The sequence below is a fragment of the Homo sapiens genome, chromosome 17 (genome assembly GCF_000001405.40).
Source record: "Homo sapiens chromosome 17, GRCh38.p14 Primary Assembly".
NCBI classification, from domain to species: Eukaryota; Metazoa; Chordata; class Mammalia; order Primates; family Hominidae; genus Homo; species Homo sapiens.
The window spans coordinates 30,708,793-30,730,692 of NC_000017.11; the positions used below are offsets into that span (position 1 = coordinate 30,708,793).

Genomic DNA, 21,900 nt, shown 5'->3' on the forward strand with positions numbered 1-21,900 from the left:
CGGGGGTCCAGCACGTCGCTTTCCCTCTCTCTGCTTTTCCAGGGAGGAGGCGAGAGGAGGCGAAAGGAAGGAAACTCCAGCACGGGTTTTCGGGCCGGCTCCTGGGGCGCTCAAGCGGGTTGCGGCGGCCAGTCCCGGGCGGCGACTCCGGGCCGGATTTTGCGCGCGCCCACCGCCCCCCTCCCGGAGCGGGTGCGCCGGGGAGAGGGGAGAGCTGGCGGCTTGTCATTGCTGGTTCCCGGCTCCGGCTCGGTCCGCGCGTCCTGCGGTGCCCACGGGCCCGGCCTGGCGCCCCCCCCTCCGGCCGCGCCGCCCCTCTCCGCCAGCTCCGCGCCGCCCGCCCCCAACCCGAGCTCCCCGCGGCCACTGCGGGGAGCCCGAGCCGTCGGCGCGGGAGCTGTCGGCGCTGCGGTGCCCCCGCCCCGCCGTCTGCCGAGGAGGCCCCGGCTGAGGGGGCCGCGCGGGCCCCGGAGCGGCGCCGCCGAGCGGCGGGGGCCTGCAGGGGCGCCCCCGCTGCCCCGTTAACCCCTCGTCCACCGCCGCCGTCGGAGGGGGCTGGGAAGTCGCCTGGGCACACACGTGCCGCCTCCGTTGGGGCCGCGGAGCTGCGGGGGAGATGCGGGCCGCTGCCGGCGCCGCCTCGGGGCGCTCCGCCTCGCCCCAGCCCCCGGCGCTCTGACGCCGCCCCCGCCCCACAGCCTCCCTCCCCGGGAGGGGCGCAGACCCGATCGCCCCCAGTCCCGAGCCTCCGCCGCCGCGAGGGGGCCGCCTTTGGATCCGTGTAATCCGCCTCTTTTTTTCTATTTTCTTTTTTTTTTTTTTTTTTTTTTTCTAATTTTTGGTTGGTGGCGGCGGTGCTGGGCCAGGGGAAGGAAGGGACACGGAGGCCGCCCTCGCCCCGCCACCTCCTACCAGCTTCCCCCCAGCCCCGGCTCCGGGAGATGTGCCGGGCGGGGGGCCCGGGTTCGCCGAGCCGCAGGAGAGACACGCTGGGCCGACCCCAGAGCGGCGCTGGACAGGTGAGTGTCTGCGGGCCCAGGGCGAGGGGCGAAGCCGCACCTGGGCCAGGTGTGCGGGGCGCGCGGAAGAGGGGAGGCGGGAAGGATGGGAGGCCGGGGCCTGTCCTGGCCGCGAGGGCGGAGGGGACGCTGGAGCCGCGCGGGGCACCGCACCTGAGCGGGAGGGGCGTCGGGGGCAGCCCGCACCTCACCCCCACTGGCGAGGGGCCCGGGAGGGGCGGCCCCCACGGAGCTCCCGGGGCGCGGGGGTGCGGACGGGCGACCGCAGGGTGCCTGGCGGGGGGAGGGGACAGCGAGTGTGCCCGCGCGCGCGCCAGCCTTTGTGGGGAAGCGGCGCCGCGGTGCCTGCGTGTCCCCGGTGCGTGTGCGCGCGGGTCCTTGGCGCCCTGTTTGTGTAGGTGTCTGGGTGTGAGCGGAGGGGGTGCGTGTGCGTGTGCGCGCCGCGCGCCGGCCCCGGGCCCCAGAGGATCCGTGTCGGGGATTGGCACCACAGGATGCTGGGCGAGGGGGTTGTTTTTCTCTGGGAGGCAGTGGCGCGGGGGATGGGGAGGGGTCCGTCTGGGTGTCAAGCCGGCCGCAGTCCGGGGGGCGCCGCTGTCAGGAAGAGGGGGTGCAGCCAGGCAGCACCTTCTCTCCGTGGTGCCGGGTTAAAGCACGGGAGGCCGGCAGGTTTGATCCACCCGGATTATTCGTGCTTTGAGGACAGCTCCCCACCCCCACCCCAGGTGCGCATTGGATTGAGCTACGAGGGTTCAGTTGTCATCCTCCCATCTGACGGTCCTGGGACCCGAGTCCAGGCCTGAAGTGGTGGGGTGGGGGGGTGCTGTGTTTGCTCCAGCCGTGTCCAGAAAATGCCCTCCCAGGTATCTCTCCAGTGCACCCCCGGCCCCCATCTGAAGACAGCCGCTGGCTACACACACCCCTGTCCCTACACTTCCAGTCCAGGTCCTCACACTGCCCCATCCCTGGCCAGCACCTCACTGTACCTGCCTGGACCCTTTCTTCCTGTTCCAACCCCCATCCACCCCCAGCCATGGCAGCTGCGTGGGGGTTTCTGTATCCCAGTTCCAGGCAGGGCCCCCCTCTTCCGCCTGGCTTCCACTAGACTCAGAGCTGGGGTCTGTCTTCCCACATCCCACATCCCAACATGTGTGCCTGGGGGCAGGAGGGGGAGGGGTTCAAAATGGCTGCCAAGATGGCTGTCTCGCTGTCTCGCGCTCTCTCTCTCGCTGTCTCTCTCTCGCTCTCTGTCTTTCTCTATATCTCTCTCTCTCTCTTCCCCTCTCTGCTTGCCCGGCTCCCTTATCCTGGTAGGGAGTCACTGCTTAGAGGAGGTTGGACCCAGTGGGGCACACCTGAGGGTGAATGTATATTCCCGGCCGTTGACCTCCATGCTGTTTGGGGACAGACCATTGGTTTCTGCTTCTCTCTCCAACACCCCAAGGGCTGCCATGTGCCTAACCTGACCCCAGACCCCACTCCTTCACCCTGGCTCACAGCCTGAAAGCTCCCTGCCCTCCACCTGCTCTCCAGGGCCTGGCCCCCTGAATTGATCAACCCCGCGGAGGGTCCACACCCCTCATTCTCTTCTCCGGTCTGCCCCACGGCCCGGGGGCAGGGGATTGATTCTGCGTGGGCCCCTGTCAGGCCCCAGCTTTGGGGGGCAGGTGACTTCTCCTTCCTCCCTGCTCCCCTTCCATTAATGCCAAATTTATTACTTAAAAGTAGGATGAAAACAGGGAGAATAAGAGAAGGTTTACAATCTTCATTATCATATCGAGAAAATTATCCGTGATTTTCCTAACTAGCAATTTGCCTGCCATGCCGTTCAGAACTGACTTGCCCATTAATTACAGAGATGAAAAATCATCTGGAATTCGGAAAAGGGAACTAATTCCATGGCTGGCAGCGATCGCACCCGTGCACGGAGCCACATACATGTGCGACATACGTGTGCGCTCACATGTAGGTCCCGGCCCTCTTGCTGGTCTTGCCACCATCTTCCTACCCAGCTTGGTGACCTCCCTCATGGCCTTGCTCGGTCCACCCCATGTGTGTGTGGCACCTGCCCTGGGACACCCCTGCAGGCCCTCTTTCTCTCCAAGGGGCGCCCATCTCAATCCCCACTTCTGGGAAGCTTGCGTACCCCGTGATCACCCACGCTGATTCCTGCTCTTGGGGGTGTAGCTGGCGCCCAGGGTTGGGGAGGATGGAGAGCTGGGGACCAGCACACCTGGGCTGTGGAGCCTGCAGGGAGGGGGTGGAAGGGGGGGACTTGAAGCCCAGCTTCTATTCCCAGCCTGCCCAGGGGAGCCCTTTCTCCTGGGGGGCCTAGTAGGACCCTGTGGGCACGTTGGGGAGGAGCCTACAGGCGCCTCAGCTGCACGGGAGTGTGTTTGCATCCAGCAGTTTGGGCCCCCGGCCGGTGGCGTCTCCACCTGCACGTGAGGCTGTGTGATGCTTGCAGGCATCTCGGTGGGGAGGGTGGCAGCGGGTGCCCCTCAAGAGGAACAGGAGGAGTGGGAGCACTGCCATCCCCGCTGGAGCATCGTCTTTGCCCTCCACCCCCTCCTTCCTCCCTGGCGAGACATGTGGCCAGGGACACACAAGGCTCTGGGTTCTGTGTGGGTTCCTCTCACGGATCTGATTTCCACATGCCAGACACTTCCCCTTCTTCCAGCCCCTCCGTGGGGAGGCAGGGAGAGGGGCTCCCGAGGCGGGGGTTCCCTGGGTCTGAAACCCTGACCCCAGTGACCCTGAAGGTGCCATGGCAAGACAGACAGCTCCTCCCAGGCTGGGTTTGGGGCAAAGTGGTTGCTATTGGGCACCCTGATGGAAGGGGAGAGACGGGTCCTGGAGTGAGGTGGGAGGCCAAGTAGAAACATGGAGGGGGTCCCGGTGTCCCCAGAATCCAGATGTCTGTCTGTCTCTCCACCTGTGCATAGGTGTCCTCTGCCTGTGTGGCCTGGATGGTGATCTAGCCAAGGGTGCATGTGGCCACGTGACCATCAGGCACATCCGGTGTTCATAAGGGTCCCTTGTGTGCTGGTGTTTGTGTTTTGCAGAGGGGGTGGTCATGCTGGGGGAGGTAGGGCTGCAAGAAGGAGTAGTTGTCTGTGTGCACACATGGAGCTGTTTGCATCTTTTGTGCACCTGCAGTTGTGTGCTCAGGATTTCTTGGAGCAAGGCTGGGTGCACCTTGTCATGCAATCTGCACACACTTGCCAAGTGCCTTCCCCACCCAGCACCATGCGGGGGGTGCCATGGGGGCTGGTGGCCACGTCCTGTCCTCATGGAGCTCACACTCTAGCAACACATATGGGGTTTCCATCAAAGCTCTCCTATCAGCTGGGCGTGGTGGCTCATACCTGTAATCCCAGCACTTTGGGAGGCTGAGGTGGGTGGATCACCTGAGGTCAGGAGCTTGAGACCAGCCTGGCCAACATGGTGAAACCCCATCTCTACTACAAGTACAGAAATTAGGCAGGCATGGTGGTGTGCACCTGTAGTCCCAGCTACCAGGGAGGCTGAGGCAGGAGGATTGCTTGAATTCAGGAGGCGGAGGTTGCAGCGAGCCGAGATTGTGCCACTGCACTCCAGCGTGGGCGACAGAGCAAGACTCATTCTCAAAAAAAAAAACCCAAAACAAAAAAGCAAAACTCTCCTGTCATGCGAGTTGGGGAGAAGGCATGTGTCTCCTTTTCGAGGGTAGCCCCAAATTCTGACTGCAGTAGCCCACAGGCTTGGACTGTCCTGGGGTCTGGCCCTTCATGGTCTTTCTGGGCCACCTCCTCCCTCCTCGTTGCTCCTCCAGTGTGCTAAGTGTGATCCTACCCCGGGGCGTTTGCACTGCTGTTCTGCCATCTAGGACCCTTCCCCAGATATTTGCGAGGCTTTTTCTCCCCCACCCTCTTGAAATATCACCTCCCCAGTAAGGTTTACTCCCAGGCACCTTCTGCAGAGTCTCAGCTTCCCACACCCCTCCTGATGTTCAGTACAGCAGACGGCTTTTCACATAGGCTGTAATTTCCTGATGTTCTGCGCTTGTTTGTTTACTGTCTGTGTCTGTGAGGAGGATCCAAGTGCGCGAGGATGTTGTGATTTGCTTTGCTTTGGGAATCCCAGGTGTCAGCAGTCATCACTGGCCCACAGTGTGCGTTCAAGAAGTCTTACCTGACCCAGGTGTGGTGACTCACACCTGTAAACCCAGAATGTTGGGAAGCCGAGGTGGGAAGATTGCTCGAGGACAAGAATTTGAGATCAGCCTGGGCAACATAGCAAGACTCGTTTCTAAAAAATTTTTTTAATAGTTGGGCATCGTGAATATGCACCTGTAGTCTCAGCTGCTCAGGAGGCTGAGGTGGAAGGATCGCTTGAGCCCAGAAGTTTGAGGCTGCAGTGAGCTATGATTGCACGAGTGCACTCCAGCCTGGGCGACAAAGCAGGATCCTGACTCTTAAAAAAAAAAAAAAAAAAAAAAGGCCCCTGCCTTCACTGTCTCCTGTTCCAAAATTTGGGGGGAGATAAAAATTCAATAAATAGATGCCCAGGCCAAAAATAGCCTTGCCCCCCCGCCAAAAAAAAAAAAAAAAGCCTCAGAATAGTCAGTGCCCCTCCCTCAGAGGCTAAAAATACCCTGCAGGTCACAAATGATCAGGTCAGGAAGCCAGGTGGATTCTCCTTCCTGTCCTTGAGGAGGTGAGGGGTCCGGGGCTGGCTTTCTCAGACAGGATTTCCCAGATGATTTCCATTACTCCTGACTTTGGCACTGCATCATTCTCTGTGGGAGGCTGTCCTTTGTACTATAGGATGCTCAGAGGCCACCCTAGCCTCTTCCCGATGGATGTCAGTGACACCTCCAGCCCCACAGTTGTAACACCTCGGAACGTCTCCAGACATTGCTAAACATACTGGGATCAGGGGCAGAATTGTCCTGGGTTGGCAGTGATGGCTGTAGAGTAGAGGTTGCCAGTGGGGCAAGGTGGCCCACGCCTGTAATCCTAGCACTTTGGGAGGCTGAGGCAGGAGGATCACTTGAGTCCAGGAGTTCAAGACCAGCCTGGGCGACAAAGCGAGACCCCCTTCTTTACAGAATAAAAAATTAAAAAATTCGTTGGGCATGGTGCTGCACGCCTGTCGTCCCAGCTACTCGGGAGGCTGAGGCAGGAGGATCACTTGAGCTGGGAGGTCAAGGCTGCAGTGAGCTGTGATCCCGCCAGTGCATTCCAGCCTGGGCAACAGAGCAAGACCCTGTCTCAAAAAAATATATACATAAATAAAATAGAGTAGAGGTTGGCTGACTTTCCTGTAGAAAGCCCGATGGTAAATCCTGCAAGCTTTGCGGGCCGCAGACGGGTTCTGTGGCCTGTTCTCTTTTCTCTTCTCTTCAGTCCTTTAAAAATGTAAACACCATTCTTAGCTCACCAGCTGTACAAAAGCAGGCTGGGGCCTGGCCATGGTTGGCCGACCCTGCCCCAGAACGCCCCCTAGTGGCTTCTGGGAGTGAAGGCTGGGCAGAGGGGCGGCCCCATTTGGGGAGCAGTTGTGTGCTTAAAGTACAAGGCGAGTCCCGCGCAGTCTGTTCCCGGCACCTCCCTGCTCTCACCTCCTCCCACTCTCCTCACCAGCTCACGACCCGCTTCCTCGATGCAGCTGCCACCGTTATTCAAACATACAGGCACAGTCCAGCCCCAGGGCCTTTGCACGGGCTGTGACCCTGCCTAGGACGCTCTTCTAACTCTCCTGAACTGATCACCTGCGTGCTCCTCCCTCAAATTCACAGAGGTTTGCTAAAATGTCATCTTCTCCAGGGGAGATGACCTTTCTTGATCATCCTGTTGAAAATTGCAACAGCCGGGCACAGTGGCTCATGCCTGTAATCCCAGCACTTTGGAAGGCCGAGGTGGGTGGATCACCTGAGATCAGGAGTTCGAGACCAGCCTGACCAACATGGTGAAACCCTGTCTCTACTAAAAATACAAAAATTAGCTGGGCGTGGTGGTGGGTGCCTGTAGTCCCAGCTAATCAGGAGGCTGAGTCAGGAGAATCGCTTGAACCTGGGAGGCAGAGGTTGCAGTGAGCCAAGATCATGCCATTGCACTCCAGCCTGGATGACAGAGCAAGACTCTGTCTCAAATAAATAAATAAATAAAAGAAAATAAAATTGCAACAGCCGGGCATAGTAGCTCATGCCTGTAATCCCAGCACTTTGGGAGGATGAGGTGGGAGGATTGCTTGAGTTCGAGACCAGCCTGGGAAACATAACGAGGCCCCCATTTCTACAAAAAAATTAAAAATTAGCTGGGCACGATGGCACACGCCCTGTGGTCCCAGCTACTTGGGAGGCCGAGGCAGGAGGATCCCTTGAGCTCAGAGGCTGTGGTGAGCCATGATCCCACCACTGCACTCCACCCTGGGCAACAGAGCGAGACCCTGTCTTTAAAAATACGATTAAAAAAAAAAAAACACTCCCAAACCCACACACACTCATAGCCACTTTTCCTGGCTTTATCTTCTTTCACAACACTGGTACGCTACAGAGTCGACTTTTTTGTACCCAGCCCCTCAGTGTCTGGCACATAGAAGATGCTCCAAAAAAGATGTGTGGAATTGCCAAAAATTATTTCTAACCCCCACAGCCACCCTGGGATGCTATCGTTCCCCAGCTCCCCCGTGGAGAGACAGAATTGAGAGGAGTGATGTGGGTGTCCTGTCGTGCCGACATGACGGCGCACAGCCTGGATTTGAACCTGCAACTTAAGGGCGCTATGCCCGGGGCCTCTTCTCTCCTGCCCTGCTAGGCACCATGCCCCCGTCTCCTGGTCTCACCCTGCCCCTTAACTGCCGGCATCTGATGAGGCAGGGGGATCCCGCCTCTGTGCCCTCTGCTCGGGCCCTAGCTTCTAGAACTCTTCAGCTCTGCTCTGCTGAGCTCGGAGTGCAAAGCTTGGGGCTGGACAGTGAACACTTTGGAGTGGAAACAGACCACAGGCCACAGGCCACAGGACCTGCCATGATGGTGAGCACAGCAGAGGTGCAAGTCAGGGAAGGCTTCCCGGAGGCGGGGGCTTCCCAGCTGCAACCTGGAGTGGGAGGAGGGGTATGGCGGAGGGGAAAGAGCATCTGTGAGAGAGAGGGGCTGCCCTGAGGTCAGACAGAAGGTGGTGGCTCAAAGGGGAGGAAGGAGAGATGTTTCACAACTGCACATGGAGAGAAGCTGGAGGCTGCTGGCTGGCCTTGTGACTGTGAGTCTGTTTGGTTTGTCCGTGGGGCTGCCAGGGCCTGTGGCAGGGATGGGGGTAGAGGTAGGGGGTTTATGTCAGGATCCAGATGTCAGGGTGAGAATGTTTAGCATGAGCTCCCTCTAGCTGCTACATGGGAGAGAGCCATAGTTGGCAGGAAGGGAGGCCAGGAGGCCAGAAGGGAGGCCAGGAGGCAACCAGCAAGGTGAGGGCCAGAAGCAGCCAGCACTTGGTGGAAGCTTCAGGTTTCTGGCTTTGACAGCCCTGTGGACAAAAGGCAAGGGACAGGTGGGGTAGGGAGTACCCTCCACTCCCAGCAACCCTCCCCACACACAGTCTGATCTCCATCTCTGTGGCCAGAGGACACCTGTGAACACCCGAGCCAGATCCCATCCCTCCTTTGTTCAGGATTCCCAATGGCTCCCACCTCTCTAGAAAGCCAAAGTCCTCCTTGAGGTCCACAAGGCCCTGCATGGCCTCTGTGACCCCCCTCCCCAGCTGCCCTCACCTCCTTCCACTCTTCCCTTGCTTGCAAGGCCCCAGCCACATCTCAGCACATTCCTACCCCAGGACCTTTGCACGTGCTGTTCCCTCTGCCCAGAATGCTCTTTCCACAGGTACCTAGATGGCTCACCTCCTCAAGACCTCTGCCAAAATGTCACTTTTTAGGGGAGGTATTTCCTGGCCACCCTGTCTACAGTTGCACCTACACGTATACCCCCTCTCAGGCACACCTTCCTCCATTGCACTTGTGACCAGTTGGGAACTCGGTAAACATCCACTGAATAGATGATCTGCTTTTTGGGTCTATTTCATCTTCATTCATTAAACAAATGAACAAGCATCCACTCCTTGCCCAGGGCTGGGTATGCAACAAGAGCCAGCCCAACCCGCAATGGTACTTTGCCCTCAGAGTCCCTCGATGGTGGAGAAGACAGACATTAAACAGCTGAGTCCAAGTCCAGTTAGGGGAGCAAAACACAGAGGCCCTGTGTTCTGTGAGAGTGGATATGAGAGATACGAATGCCGTCCTCTGGGCAGAGCCCTTTGGAGGGAGAGCAGAATAAGGAACTGTGTGTGAGAGAGAGACAGACGCTGAGTAGAAGTGATGGGAAGGTGGCAGGACAGCAGGGCCTGAGATGCCATGTTAGAGCATCACAGGCAATAGGGAGCCATGGAGGGTTGTAGGCAGGGAGGGGTGTAATTGGATTTCCATTTTGCAAAGATCATTCTGGCCTCAGGGTAGAGACTGGATGGGACAGGGGTAGCAGATAGATGGGGAGACGAAGGAGAAGGTGTCGGGGGGGTGCAGGGAATTTTTTGAACGACCCCTACCGCTCTGCAGTCTAGTGCTGCTTGGTGGCTGGGGTGACCTTTATTTTATTTAGAGACGGAGTCTTGTTTTGTCACCCAGGCTGGAGTGCAGTGGCATGATCATAGCTCACTGCAGCCTTGACTTTTTGGGCTTGAATGACCCTGCTGCCTCAGCCTCCCAAGTAGCCAGGACCACAGGTGTGTGCCACCATGCCTGGCTAATTTTTAAATTTTTGTAGAGAGAGGATCTCACTGTGTTGCCCAGGCTGGTCTCAAACTCCTGGCCACAAGCAATTCTGCATTGGTCTCCCAAAGTGCTAGGATTACAGGTATGAGCCACTGTACCCAGCTCCAGGGTGACCTTTAAAAGGTTCTTCATTGAACAATTATATTTCAGCTTCCTGCTTGTGCCAGGCACTGTGCTGAGTGTAGTATGCAAACCCCACCCTGCAGAGCCAGCATCTAGTAGCAGAGAGTTCATAAGCAAATAAAACGCATGGCGTGCTGGTGATAGGTATGGAGAAATCAAGTCAGGACACGGCGTAGGAGTGCGGGGGCCAGCAGGACCTTGCCGAGCTAGTGATGTTTGAGGAACGACCAAAAGGAAGATGCAGGAGGAGCTGTGAGGGGATCTGGAGAAGAGAGAAACAGCCCGTGAAGAGGCCCTAAGGCAGAACAGTGCCTGGTGTTTCACATTGTACAGGGCCTGTTTGTTTTTTGTTTTTGAGATGGGGTCTTGCTCTGTTGCCCAAGCTAGAGTGCAGTGGCATAATCTCAGCTCGCTGCAACCTCCACCACCCGGGCTCAAGAGATCCTCCCACCTAAGCCTCCCGAGGAGCTGGGACCACAGGCGTGTGCCACCATGCCTGGCTAACTTTTTGTATTTTTGGTAGAGACAGGGTTTCACTATGTTGCCCAGGCTGGTCTGGAACTTCTGAGCCCAAGCAATCAGCCCGCTTCAGCCTCCCGAAGTGCTGGGATTACAGGTGTGCGCCGCCACATCCGGCCCAGTGCAGAGCCTTTGTATGATACAGACTTTGGCTTTTGGTCGAGTGAGGTGGGAGCCACGGAGGGTTCTGAGCAGAGGAGGGAAGCAGCTGACTTAGATGCTCACAAGCGCCCTCTGGTGGCCATGGGGGAAACATACTGTAGACAGTTTCATTTTGCAAAGATTGTTCTCACCTCGGGGTAGAGATTGGATGGGACAGGGGTGGCAGATAGATGGGGAGACGAGGTGTAGACAGTGAGGTGGGGAAGTGGGGTCCAGCCAGGAGATGATGGGGCTGGACCAGAGAAGCTGAGGAGTGGCGAGAGGTGAGTGGGCTCTGAAGGAGTAGCCACAGGACCTGACGGGGCTGGATGTGATGTGAGGGGAGAGGGATCCAGGATGACTGTCCGGTTCCTGAGCACCTGGAGGGACTGGGCTGCCATCCGCTGAGCTGGAGGATGGGGCAGGGACTGGAGATGCCGCGACAACCCTGCCCTGCCCAAGGACCATGTACCTGGGCCCTCTCTGGGCACGTGCTCTGTCTCTGCGAGGTAGGTCTGTTAGTCCCTGAGCAGCAATGGGGAAATAGGTTCAGAGAGGCCAAGTGCTTGCTCTGAAGCTACACAGCAGATTGAAATTCAGGAGCTTCGACTCTCAGCTGGTCCTTCATAGTCACCCCGGGGCCTGCAGCTTCCTTATGGACCTGCCGGATGCCTGAGGGCTTCCTGGAGGAGGTGGGCTCATGGGCGGCTGGGTTTGGGGAGTGGGCAGGAGGCAGGAGATGCAGCCAGAGGGCTGTGTGTGGAGGGGCCGGCTGCTGCCAAGAAGGGAGAAGACCATGAAGGGGGCTCAGATCCCAGATCCCCACCTTGGTTCCCCGCCACCCCACCCAAGGCACTCAGACTCCCACCCCCTCAAGCGCGCAGAGGGTTGCCATGGCAACTGCAGGCTAGGGCAGGCTAGAGGCGCCCCCTCTCCCCCAGCAGCCACTTCTCCTCCTGTCGCTCTCCCCATCTCCATCCCAGGGCACCCGAGGACAGAGTCTAGGCCTTAGTGGCCCACCCTGCCGCACCGACCCTTGACTTGAGACAGACGTAGGGCTTAGATGCGAACATACAGGCAGGTGTGCAGCCCCGTTTCCCATGGGTGAAATAGGGTCACCTATGGCTGGGTGCAATGGATTCCTGGGTACACCTGTAATCCCAGCATTTTGAGAGGCTGAGGCGGGAGGATTGCTTGAGCCCAGGAATTCAAGACCAGCCTGGGCAACATGGTGAAACCTCATCTCTACAAAAAACACAAAAATTAGCCAGGCGGGGGTTTGTGTGCCTGTAGTCCCAGCTACTCAGGAGGCTGAGCTGGGAGGATCACTTGAGCCTGGGAGGATGAGGCTGCAGTGAGCTGAGAGTGCACCATTGCACTCCAGCCTGGGCAACAGAGCAAGATCCTACTGTCTCAAAGGAAAAAAAAAAAAAAAGAGAAAGAGAAGAAAGAAGGAAAGAAAAAAGAAAGACAAATAAGGTGACTGGAGACTACTGAGGTGCAAGCGGGGGACAGACACAGGTGTGGGCTCACCTGGCTTCCCAGATGTAGAACGTCCAGGCGTGACCAGCTCTGAGGTTGCATAGACACTCAAATACAGTGTGGGCCCGGGGGTGGGGGCTCTTCTGGCCCCCCAGGATACCCCCACAGCTCATCAAGCCCAACCTGGGGAGCCAGCCCTCCCTGGGTTCAAGCCCCCTTACCAGTTGGGTGTCCCTGGGTATATCTCTTCAATGACAGGACCTCACTTTCCTCCTCTGTAAGCTGTGGGTACAAGCATCTCTCCTTCCTAAATGGTTATTAGGATTACATGAGCTACACATGGAAGCTGTTCGGGCTGGGACTTGGAGGTGTCCGCCACTGTCCCAGGCATCTCAGGTGATTCCTTGCTGGAGAGCCCAGCTAGATGCCCTCCCTGTCGTTTGCTGTTTCCTGTAAATGGTTTCTTTAAAGTTCTGCGGCTCAGGCCCTTGCCCCCATCTCTGCCTCCCTCCTCACTCTCTGTGTGTCCTGACTCCCTATATGAATTTCCTAGGCTCCCACAACAAATTACCACAGACGGGACAGCTTTAGCAACAGAGACTTTATTGGTTTTTTTGTTTATGTTTCAGAGATGGGGTCTTGCTCTATTGCCCAGGCTGAAGTGTAGTGGTGCGATCACAGGTCACTGCAGCCTCAACCTCCCGGGCTCAAGTGATCCTCCCACTTCAGCCTCCTGAGCAGCTGGGACTACAGGTGCATCCCGTCATGCCCAGCTACTTTTTTATATTTGTTTATAGAGCTGGGGTCTCACTGTGTTGCCCAGGCTCGTCTCAAACTCTTGGGCTCAAGCAATTCTCCCGCCTTGGCCTCCCAAAGTGCTGGGATTACAGGCGTGAGCCACTGCAGCCAACAACAGAATTGTGTCGCCTCCCAGCTCTGGAGGTTGGAAGTCCAAGATCAAGGTGTCGTCAGGGTTGGTTCCTTCTGGGAGCCTTCAGGGAGAATCCATTGCAGGCCTGTCTCCTGGCTTCTTTTGGTCATTAACTGGCAATCTTCCCTGGCTTCTAGAAGCATCACTCTGATCTCTGCCTTCATGGTCACATGGTCTTCTGTGCATGTCTGTGTCCAGGTTTCTCCTTTGTATAAGGGCATCAGTTGTTGGATTAGGACCCACACTAATGACCTCATTTTAACTTGATTATCTCTGTAAGGACTCCAGATGTTCCCAACACAGTCACATTTGAGTTATCAGGAGTTGGGACTTCAACATATCTTTTGTATTTTTGACATGGGGTCCCACTCTCTTGCCCAGGCTAGAGTGCGGTGGTGCAATCAGAGCTCACTGCAGCCTCAACCTCCTGGGTTCAAGCAACCCTCCCACCTCAGCCTTCCCAGTAGCTGGCACGTGCCACCGTGCTCGGTTAATTTTTGTGTTTTTTGTAGAGATGGGGTCTCACTATGTTGCTCATGCTGGTCTCAAACTCCAAGGCTCAAGTGGTCCTCCCACCTTGGCCTCCCAAAGTACTGGGGTTGTAGGTGTGAGCCACTGTGCACTGTGCCCAGCCTGACATTTTTTTTTTCTTTGGCGGTGGGGGTCGGGGGCTGTAATTCAATCCGTAACACCTCCCCCTCCAGAGGCCTCAGGGATGGTCAGGCCTGGGTCTCCCAGGGGACACCCACCACCTGCCAAGCTGAGGCTGGGCCCTGGGGGTGTCTGGAGCTTCCTAGGGGAGCCACGCTGGGGAGAGGGCGTCGTGCTCCTGGGGAACTCTGTCTGTACCCCTAAGGCAATGGCACCCTGCCTGTGGGGGTCAGGCGTGGCCCGCCAGGTCACAGGGCAGATGCCCCATCTCCAGCTATCCTCACTGCCATCCTTAGTCACTCCCCTGTGACTAAGTAAGTTTTTGCTTGGGGACCCACTGTGTGTTCAGGGGACCAGGAGACAGGAGTCAGGGAAACCAAGTTCCAGCCTCAGGAGTTTCCATTCTCCTGGGAGTAGAAAGAAAATCTAGAAGGCTGGGTGCGGTGGCTCATGCCTGTAATCTCAGCACTTTGGGAGGCTGAGGCGGGTGGATCACCTGAGGTTGGGAGTTCGAGAGCAGCCTGACCAATATGGCAAAACCCTTTCTCTACTAAAAATACAAAAATTAGCCAGGTGTGGTGGCCTGTGACTGTAATCTCAGCTACTCAGGAGGCTGAGGCAGGAGAATCACTCGAGGTTCTTGAATCACTTGAGGCAGAGGTTGCGGTGAGCCAAGATCACGCCAATGCATTCCAGCCTGGGCGACAGAGCAAGACTCCGTCTCAAAACAAAACAAAGAAAAGGCCGGGAGCAGTGGCTCACGCCTGTAATCCCAACACTTTGGGAGATCAAGGCAGGCAGATCACCTGAGTTTGGGAGTTCAAGACCAGCCTGACCAACATTGTTAGTAGAGCAAAACGTCGTCTCTACTAAAAATACAAAAATTAGGCAGGCTTGGTGGCGTGTGACTGTAATCCTAGCTACTCAGGAGGCTGAGGCAGGAGAATTGCTTGAACCTGGAAGGTGGAGGGTGCAGTGAGCCGAGATCGTACCACTGCACTCCAGCCTGAGCGACAGAGTGAGTCTCCATCTCAAAACATAAATAAATAAAATAAAATAAAGGAACTCTAGGAGTGGTCAAGTAAAAGTATAGAGCAGGGATGGGATGGATGAGGTTATGGACTAAATTGTATCTTCCCACCTCCCTCCCAAATGCAGAGGTTGAAGCCCTGACTCCCAGCGTGAGTGTTTTTGGAGGTAGGCCCTTGAGGGAGGTAATTAAGGTTAAATGAGATCTTAAGGGTGGGGCCCCCTACTCTGAGAGGACTGGTATCCCAATAAGAAGAGAGAGGCCGGGGCTTGTGGCTCATGCCTGTAATCCCAGCACTTTGGGAGGCCAAGGCAGGAGGATCGCTTGAGGCCAGGAGCTCAAGACCAGCCTGGGCAACATAGTGAGACCCCATCTCTACAAAAAAAATCAAAAAAGTAGCTGGGCACAGGAGCACGCACCTGTAGCCCCAGCTACTCAGGAGGCTGAGGCGGGAGGATCGCATGAGCCTGGGAGGTTGAGACTGCAATGAGCCGGGATTGTGCCACTGCACTCCAGCCTGAGCAAGAGAGACAGACCTTGTCTCAGAGAAAAAAAAAAAAAAAAAAAAGAGACAGCAGGGATCTGTCTCCCTTTATGCATGTCTAGAGAAGAGGCCCTGTGAGGTTATAGTGAGAAGGCGGAAGAGAATTTCCACAGAAACTGAATTCGCTGGCACCTTGATCTTGGCCTTCTGGCCTCCAGAACTAGGAGGAAGTAAATTTCTGCTGTGTAAGCCGCGCAGTCTGTGGTACTTTGTTATGGCAGCCCGAGCTAATGGAGAAGGTGACAATGGGGACAAGGGATGCTTCACCCTGTCTATGTGCCAGGAGCATCCCGAGTGTCTCATGTGTGTGAATTTGTCCTGTTGCACAGCTGCCCTCTGAGGTATCCCCGTTTTACCAAGAAGAAAACAGAGACACAAGAGGTCACAGCATGGCAAGGGATGCACAGGCAGGTGGTGACTGCAGGGCACTGTGATACAGGGTGGCGGAGGCCCATGTCTGCGTCTCTGGGGAGGACACCTCTGAGTCTGAGGGACACAGATGGGGACAGGCTGAGGCTGCAGGGTGGGAACCCGCATGGCTGGAGGGAGACAAGGCGGGAGTCAGAGGTGTTGGAGGGGTTAAAGCAGAAGACCCACCACTCAACATTGTCTTTTGTTTTTGTTTTTGTTTTGAGACGGAGTCTTGCTCTGTCGGCCAGGCTAGAGTCGGTGGCGTGATCTTGGCTCACCGCAACCTCTGCCTCCCAGGTTCAAGCAATTCTCCTACCTCAGCCTTCCGAGTAGCTGAGATTACAGGTCCCCACCATCACACCTGGCTAATTTTTGTATCTTTAATAGAGATGGGGTTTCACCATATTGGCCAGGCTGGTCTTGAACTCTTTTTTTTTTTTTCTTTTTTTTTTTTTGAGACGGAGTCTCGCCCTGTTGCCCAGGCTGGAGTGCAGTGGCGTGATCTCGGCTCACTGCAAGCTCCGCCTCCTGGGTTCACGCCATTCTCCTGCCTCAGCCTCCCGAGTAGCTGGGACTACAGGCGCCCGCCACCACGCCCGGCTAATTTTTTGTATTTTTAGTAGAGGCGGGGTTTCACTGTGTTAGCCAGGATGGTCTCGATCTCCTGACCTCATGATCCGCCCGCCTCTGCCTCCCAAAGTGCTGGGATTACAGGCGTGAGCCACCGCGCCCGGCCGGCTGGTCTTGAACTCTTGACCTCAGGTGATCTGCCCTCCTCGGCCTCCCAAAGTGCTGGGATTACAGGTGTGAGCTACTGGCCCGGCCAAGATTGTCTTTTAAAACACCCCTCTGGAATGGATGAACCTGGAGGACATTATGCTAAGTGAAATAAGCCAGACACAGAAAGACAGATAGTGCGTGACCTCACTTATCTGTGGAATCTAAAAAAGAATTGAACTCGTAGAAGCAGAGTAGAGCAGTGGTTATGGGGGTGAGGGCACAGGGGAAGGCGGGAGATGCAGGTCAAAGGGTACAAGCTTTCAGCTTTCAGATAAACGTTTTAACCAGGCAGAATGGCTTGGGCCTGTAATCCCAGCACTTTGGGAGGCCAAGGCGGGAGCATTGCTTGATGCCAGGAGTGCAAGGCCAGCCTGAACAACATAGCAAGACCCTGTCTCCACAAAAACATTTAAAATCAGCCAAGCATGGTGGCACACGCCTGTAATCCCAGCTACACGGAAGGCTCAAGAGGGTGAACTCTTGAGCCCAGGAGTTCGAGACTGCAGTGAGCTATGATGGTGCCACTGCACTCCAGCCTGGGCAACAGAGCAAGACCTCATCTCTAAAAAAAAAAAACTTCCAGAGACCTAAGGTACAGCATGGTGACTATAATTAATAATAGCAGGCCAGGTGTGGTGGCTCATACCTATAATCGCAGCACTTTGGGAGGCCGAGGCAGGCAGATTGCTTGAGCTCAAAAGTTTGAGACCAGTCTGGGCAACATGAGACCCCATCTCTACTAAAAATACAAAAATTAACCAGGCACGGTGGTGCCCACCTGTAGCCCCGGCCACTTGGGAGGCTGAGGCACGAGAATTGCTTGAACTGGGAGGGAGAAGTTGCAGTGAGCCAAGATTGTGCCACTGCACTCCAGCCTGGGTGACAGAGCGAGACTCCGTCTCAAAATAATAATATTATTATTATAGCATACTGTTTTCTTGAAACTTGCTGAGGAATTAGACTCAAGTGTTCTCACCACACACACCAGAAAGGTATCTAGGTGAGGTGTTGGATATGTTGTTAGTTAGCTTGGTTGTAGTAATCATTTCACAACACATAATGGATATCAAAATATCATGTAACCTTAAATATATGTAATTTCTATTTGTCAGTGATGCCTCAGTAAAGCTAGGGAGAAAATAAAAAGGACCCTTCTGTGCAACAGCCCACATGTCCATTACCGATGACTGGATAAAGAAAACATGGTCCACCCATGCAGTGGAATACTACGCAGCCATAAAACGGAATGAAGCCCGGATCCAGGCTATAACGTAGGTGAGCCTTGGAAACGTGGCGCTGAGTGAGAAGCTGGACACAAAATAAGGCCAGGAATGGTGGCTCACACCTGTAATCCCAGCACTTTACGAGGCCAAGATGGGCAGATCACTTGAGTCCAGGAGTTTGAGGCCAGCCTAGGCAACATGACGAAATCCTGCCTCTACAAAAAATACAAAAATTAGCCAGGAGTTAATTTAGAGGGGTCATGTGACTATAGTCCCAGCTACTCAGGAGGCTGAGACGGGAGGATCACTTGAGCCTGGGAGGTGGAGGTTACAGTGAGCCGAGATTGGGCCACGGCACTCCAGCCTGGGCAACAGAGTGAGACCCCCATCTAACTGGTGGGGCGGGGGAGGCCACATAGCCTGTGATTCCATTTGTATGAAATGTCTAGAATAGGTAAATCCATGGAGACAGAAAGTAGACTATAAGTTACCAGGGCTGGGCGACGAGGGGAGTGGGCGTTATTGTTCAGTGGGTATGGAGTTTCTATTTGGGGTGATAAAAAAGTTTTGGAGGCTGGACACAGTGGCTCATGCCTGTAATCCCAACACGTTGGGAGGCCGAGGCGGGTGGATCACTTGAGGTCAGGAGTTCCAGACGAGCCTGGCCAACATGGTGAAACCCCGTGTCTACTCATGGTGGTGGGCGCCTATAATCCCAGCTACTCAGGAGGCTGAGGCAGGAGAATCGCTTGAACCCCAGAGGTGGAAGTTGCAGTGAGCCAAGATTGTGCCACTGCACTCCAGCCCCGGTGACAAAGTGAGACTCCGTCTCAAAAAAAAAAAAAAAAAGGAGGTGGTGCCTCTGGCTGCCAGGAGAGCCTGGACATCGGAGGCAAAGGGGCCAGAGGGCACTTGGGGAGTGGCCAGGGCCCAGGACTAGAGGGGCAGATGCTGAAGACAGATGTGTGGACCAACACTGGGGTGTTCTGGAAGTATACACAGCCCAAAGACTTACTCTTGAACTGGATTTAGGGGTGAGAGAAAGAGGAGTCAAGGCTTTCAGCTCCTGGGGTTCTGGCTGGAGGGCCTGGAAGGATGGTGGCACCGTGCACTGATGTAGGGGCTTGTATTGGTCTGGTTGGGCTGAAGATGCCTTGGAGTTCCTGGTGGAAGTATACATGGCTCAGCGGGGGCTCCACTCTGGAGTCTCAGCATTCTAGGGTGCAGCCTGGGAGGAAGAGAGGGACTGCCTCTTCCGTGGGTGTCTTTGTGCCCTGACTGGCGCCAGGCTGTGCATGGCACCCTCTGATGGGGCCTGTGTTGGCCCAGCGTGTACGTGCACTGCTCTCCTTACCAGAACCCTGCAGAATAGCAGCGCAGAGGGAACCAGGGCCAGGGAGGTGAGGAGACCAGCTCAAGGTCACACAGGGCACGTATAAGGCAAAATTGGGATCTAGACCCATGTGGATTCGCTGCCCACACAACTTGGCATCGGGTGGCTTCCCTGCCCTTTTTTTTTTTTTTTAATTAAGAGAGGGTCTTGCTCTGTTGCCCAGACTGGAGTGCAGTGGCAGGATCATAGCTTACTGCAGCCTTGCAAACTCCTGGGCTCAAGTGATCCTCTTGCCTCAGCCTCCCAAGTAGCTGGGCACCACCACGCCAAATTAAAAAACAAAAAATTTGGCCGGGCGCTGTGGCTCACGCCTGTAATCCCAGCACTTTGAGAGGCCCAGGTGGGCTGATCACGAGGTCAAGAGATCGAGACCATCCTGGCCAACACGGTGAAACCCCGTCTCTACTAAAAATACAAAAAATAGCTGGGCGTGGTGGCGCATGCCTGTAGTCCCAGCTACTCAGGAGGCTGAGGCAGGAGGATCGCTTGAACCCAGGAGGCGGAGGTTGCAGTCAGCCGAGATCGTGCCACTGCACTCTAGCCTGGTGACAGAGTGAGACTCCGTCTCAAAAAAAAAAACAAATTTCTAGAGACATGTTGCCCAGGCTGGAGTGCAGTGGCACGATCATAGCTCACTGCAGCCTTGAACTCCTGGGCTGAAGTGATCCACCCACCTTAGCCTCCCAAAGCACTGGGATCACAGGCATGAGTCACCGTACAAATCCAGCCATTTTTACTTCCCCTAACCAGTTCCTCTGCTAGGATGCCTGTTGCAGTGTGAAAGAAAGCGCTTGGAGACCCTGGGAGGGGAGTACTCCTCAGCTTGGGGACACTGCCTCCACTGAACCTTTCTGTGGCTGGACAGTTGGAGAAATGAGGAAGTTGAAATAAGGAAGCCACTCCCCATCCCCAAAGTAACATGCTGGAAAATGATCTGAAAGTGACACCAGCCATGTCTAGTCACAGATGTGGGGGGAGATGCGGACGGGGGCTGGTGGCGGCTGGGGGAGTAACACGCTGTAAAATGATCTGAAAGTGACACCAGCCGTGTCTAGTCAGGGATGTGGGGGGAGATGCGGATGGGGGCTGGAGGTGGCTGCGGGGGATTTAGTGAAGAAGCTGGGGCAGTGGAGAGGGAGCTGGTATCAGGAGTGGGCATGAGAGGGGAAGCGGGCAGAGAGCTACAGGGCTGGAGAGGGGGTGTTCAGGGCTGTCTTGCAGATATTATCCTCCCATTTCCCATGTGAGGAGACTGAGGTCTGGACCAGGTGTCCTGCCCTGTGGGGATCTTTATTTATTGAGGGCCTGTGCCTATTTGTTTTATTTTATTTATTTATTTTTGAGACAGTCTGGCTCTGTTGCCCGGACTGGAGTGCAATGGCACAATCTAGCCTCACTGCAACCTCTACCTCTCGGGTTCAACCAATTCTTGTGCCTCAGCCTCCCGAGTAGCTGGGATTACAGGTATCTGCCACCACGCCCGGCTAATTTTTTGGTATTTTTAGTAGAGACGGGGTTTCACCATGTTGGCCAGGGTGGTCTCGAACTCCTGACCTCTGGTGATCCACCCGCCTCGGCTTCCCAAAGTGCTGGGATTACAGGCATGAGCCACTGTGCCCAGCCGTGTGCTGATTTCTAAGGGCCTCTCTCAAGAAGCTCGTGTTGATAAAAAGGTAATTTCAGGTGCTCACTTGAGAGCTGTGAATTAAAAACAGGGAAAAGATGGCGGGTGAGGGCAGCAGGCGAGGACTGTTTTGTTTGCAGGGGGCCAGGGTAGGTCACTCTGCTGCGGTGACCTTGCGGCTGAGCCCTGAACAATGAGCAGCCGCAGCCAACATGCAGGGATCCTGCTTGGGGGCTGGAACTGGAATGTTGAATGTTTCAGGAACAGGAGGGAGGACAGAATGGGGCTTGGAGAGCTTGGTGGCACCAGTTCACCCACAGCCTCTGGGCTCTAGTGAGGAAATGAGACCCCAGCAGAGACCAGGGGGTCAGTTAATGTTCGGATCAACATCATTATGTGGTCCCTTAGCTCTGAGTGAAGGGCGGATTGGGAGGCGGGCAAGGAGGCCAGGACAACATACAGGTGACATAGGATGGCGGCATGGGCCTGGGTGCTGTGCTTAGAGCCAGAAGTGGGCAGGTCGCGAGATACTTGAGAGGCAGAGCCCACAGGACTTGCTGATGGCTTCTGTGAGGGGGATGACAGGGAAGGTGAGGAATCAAGGCAGAGTCTCAGCTTTGGGATCTGAGATTCATTCAACAAATAATTCAGTGCCGCGTGCCAGGCCTATTCTAAAAGTTGAGGATATGAAGACAACAATGGTGATGGCCTCAAGCAGTAATCCCAGCACTTTGGGATGTTGAGGCAGGAGGATCTCTTGAGGCCAGAAGTTCATGTTCAGCCTGGGCAACATAGCAAGACCTCATCTTTGCAAAATAAAATAAATTAGCTGGACGTGATGGCGCATACCTGTGGTCTCAGCTACTAGGGAGGCCGAGGCGGGAGGATCGCTTGAGCCTGGGAGGTGGAGGCTGCAGTGAGCCATGATTTCACCACTGCACTCCAGCCTGAGTGACAGAGCAAGACCCTATCTCTAAAAAAAAAAAGTAAAATTTGGGGATGCGGCCACCATGAGCAAAACAGTTCAATGATCCCTGCCCCATGAAGAGGACATTCTATACACCAGGTGAATAGTTCCATCTGAGCAATGGCCTGAAGGAGCCGGCCATGTGGACAGTGGGTTGGCAGAAGCTACAGGTGGAGGAAGCGACAGGTGCAAAGGCCCTGGGGCAAGGCCTGCTGTGGTCCAGGAATAGCAGGAGTGGCTGGAGCAGACATGGGGTCAGG

At 55.7% G+C, this 21,900-nt stretch overlaps 1 pseudogene across 4 annotated transcripts in view, besides 4 other annotated features; it reads left to right on the forward strand.

Moving 5' to 3' along the window:
* Positions 112–331: a silencer, noted in NCBI's record as "silent region_8399". NCBI's record gives its function as "represses an Ori minimal core promoter by ATAC-STARR-seq in GM12878 lymphoblastoid cells {active_cell/tissue: GM12878}" and the evidence as "EXISTENCE:reporter gene assay evidence [ECO:0000049][PMID:35858748]".
* Positions 112–908: a biological region, named in NCBI's record as "H3K27ac hESC enhancer GRCh37_chr17:29036042-29036718".
* Positions 232–908: an enhancer, noted in NCBI's record as "H3K27ac hESC enhancer chr17:29036042-29036718 (GRCh37/hg19 assembly coordinates)". NCBI's record gives its function as "activates a minimal SCP1, AML or CMV promoter by ChIP-STARR-seq in primed H9 embryonic stem cells {active_cell/tissue: H9 hESC(primed)}" and the evidence as "EXISTENCE:reporter gene assay evidence [ECO:0000049][PMID:30033119]".
* The window catches only part of SUZ12P1 (SUZ12 pseudogene 1), an 83,223-nt pseudogene continuing 62,138 nt past the window's right edge, over positions 816–21,900 (forward strand). For all 4 annotated transcript variants that reach the window (NR_144395.1, NR_144394.1, NR_144393.1 and 1 more), the window contains exon 1: positions 816–1,019. The product of NR_144395.1 is annotated as an SUZ12 pseudogene 1, transcript variant 4 (transcript). The remainder of the gene's footprint in view (positions 1,020–21,900) is intronic.
* Positions 10,554–10,603: an enhancer, noted in NCBI's record as "active region_12001". NCBI's record gives its function as "activates an Ori minimal core promoter by ATAC-STARR-seq in GM12878 lymphoblastoid cells {active_cell/tissue: GM12878}" and the evidence as "EXISTENCE:reporter gene assay evidence [ECO:0000049][PMID:35858748]".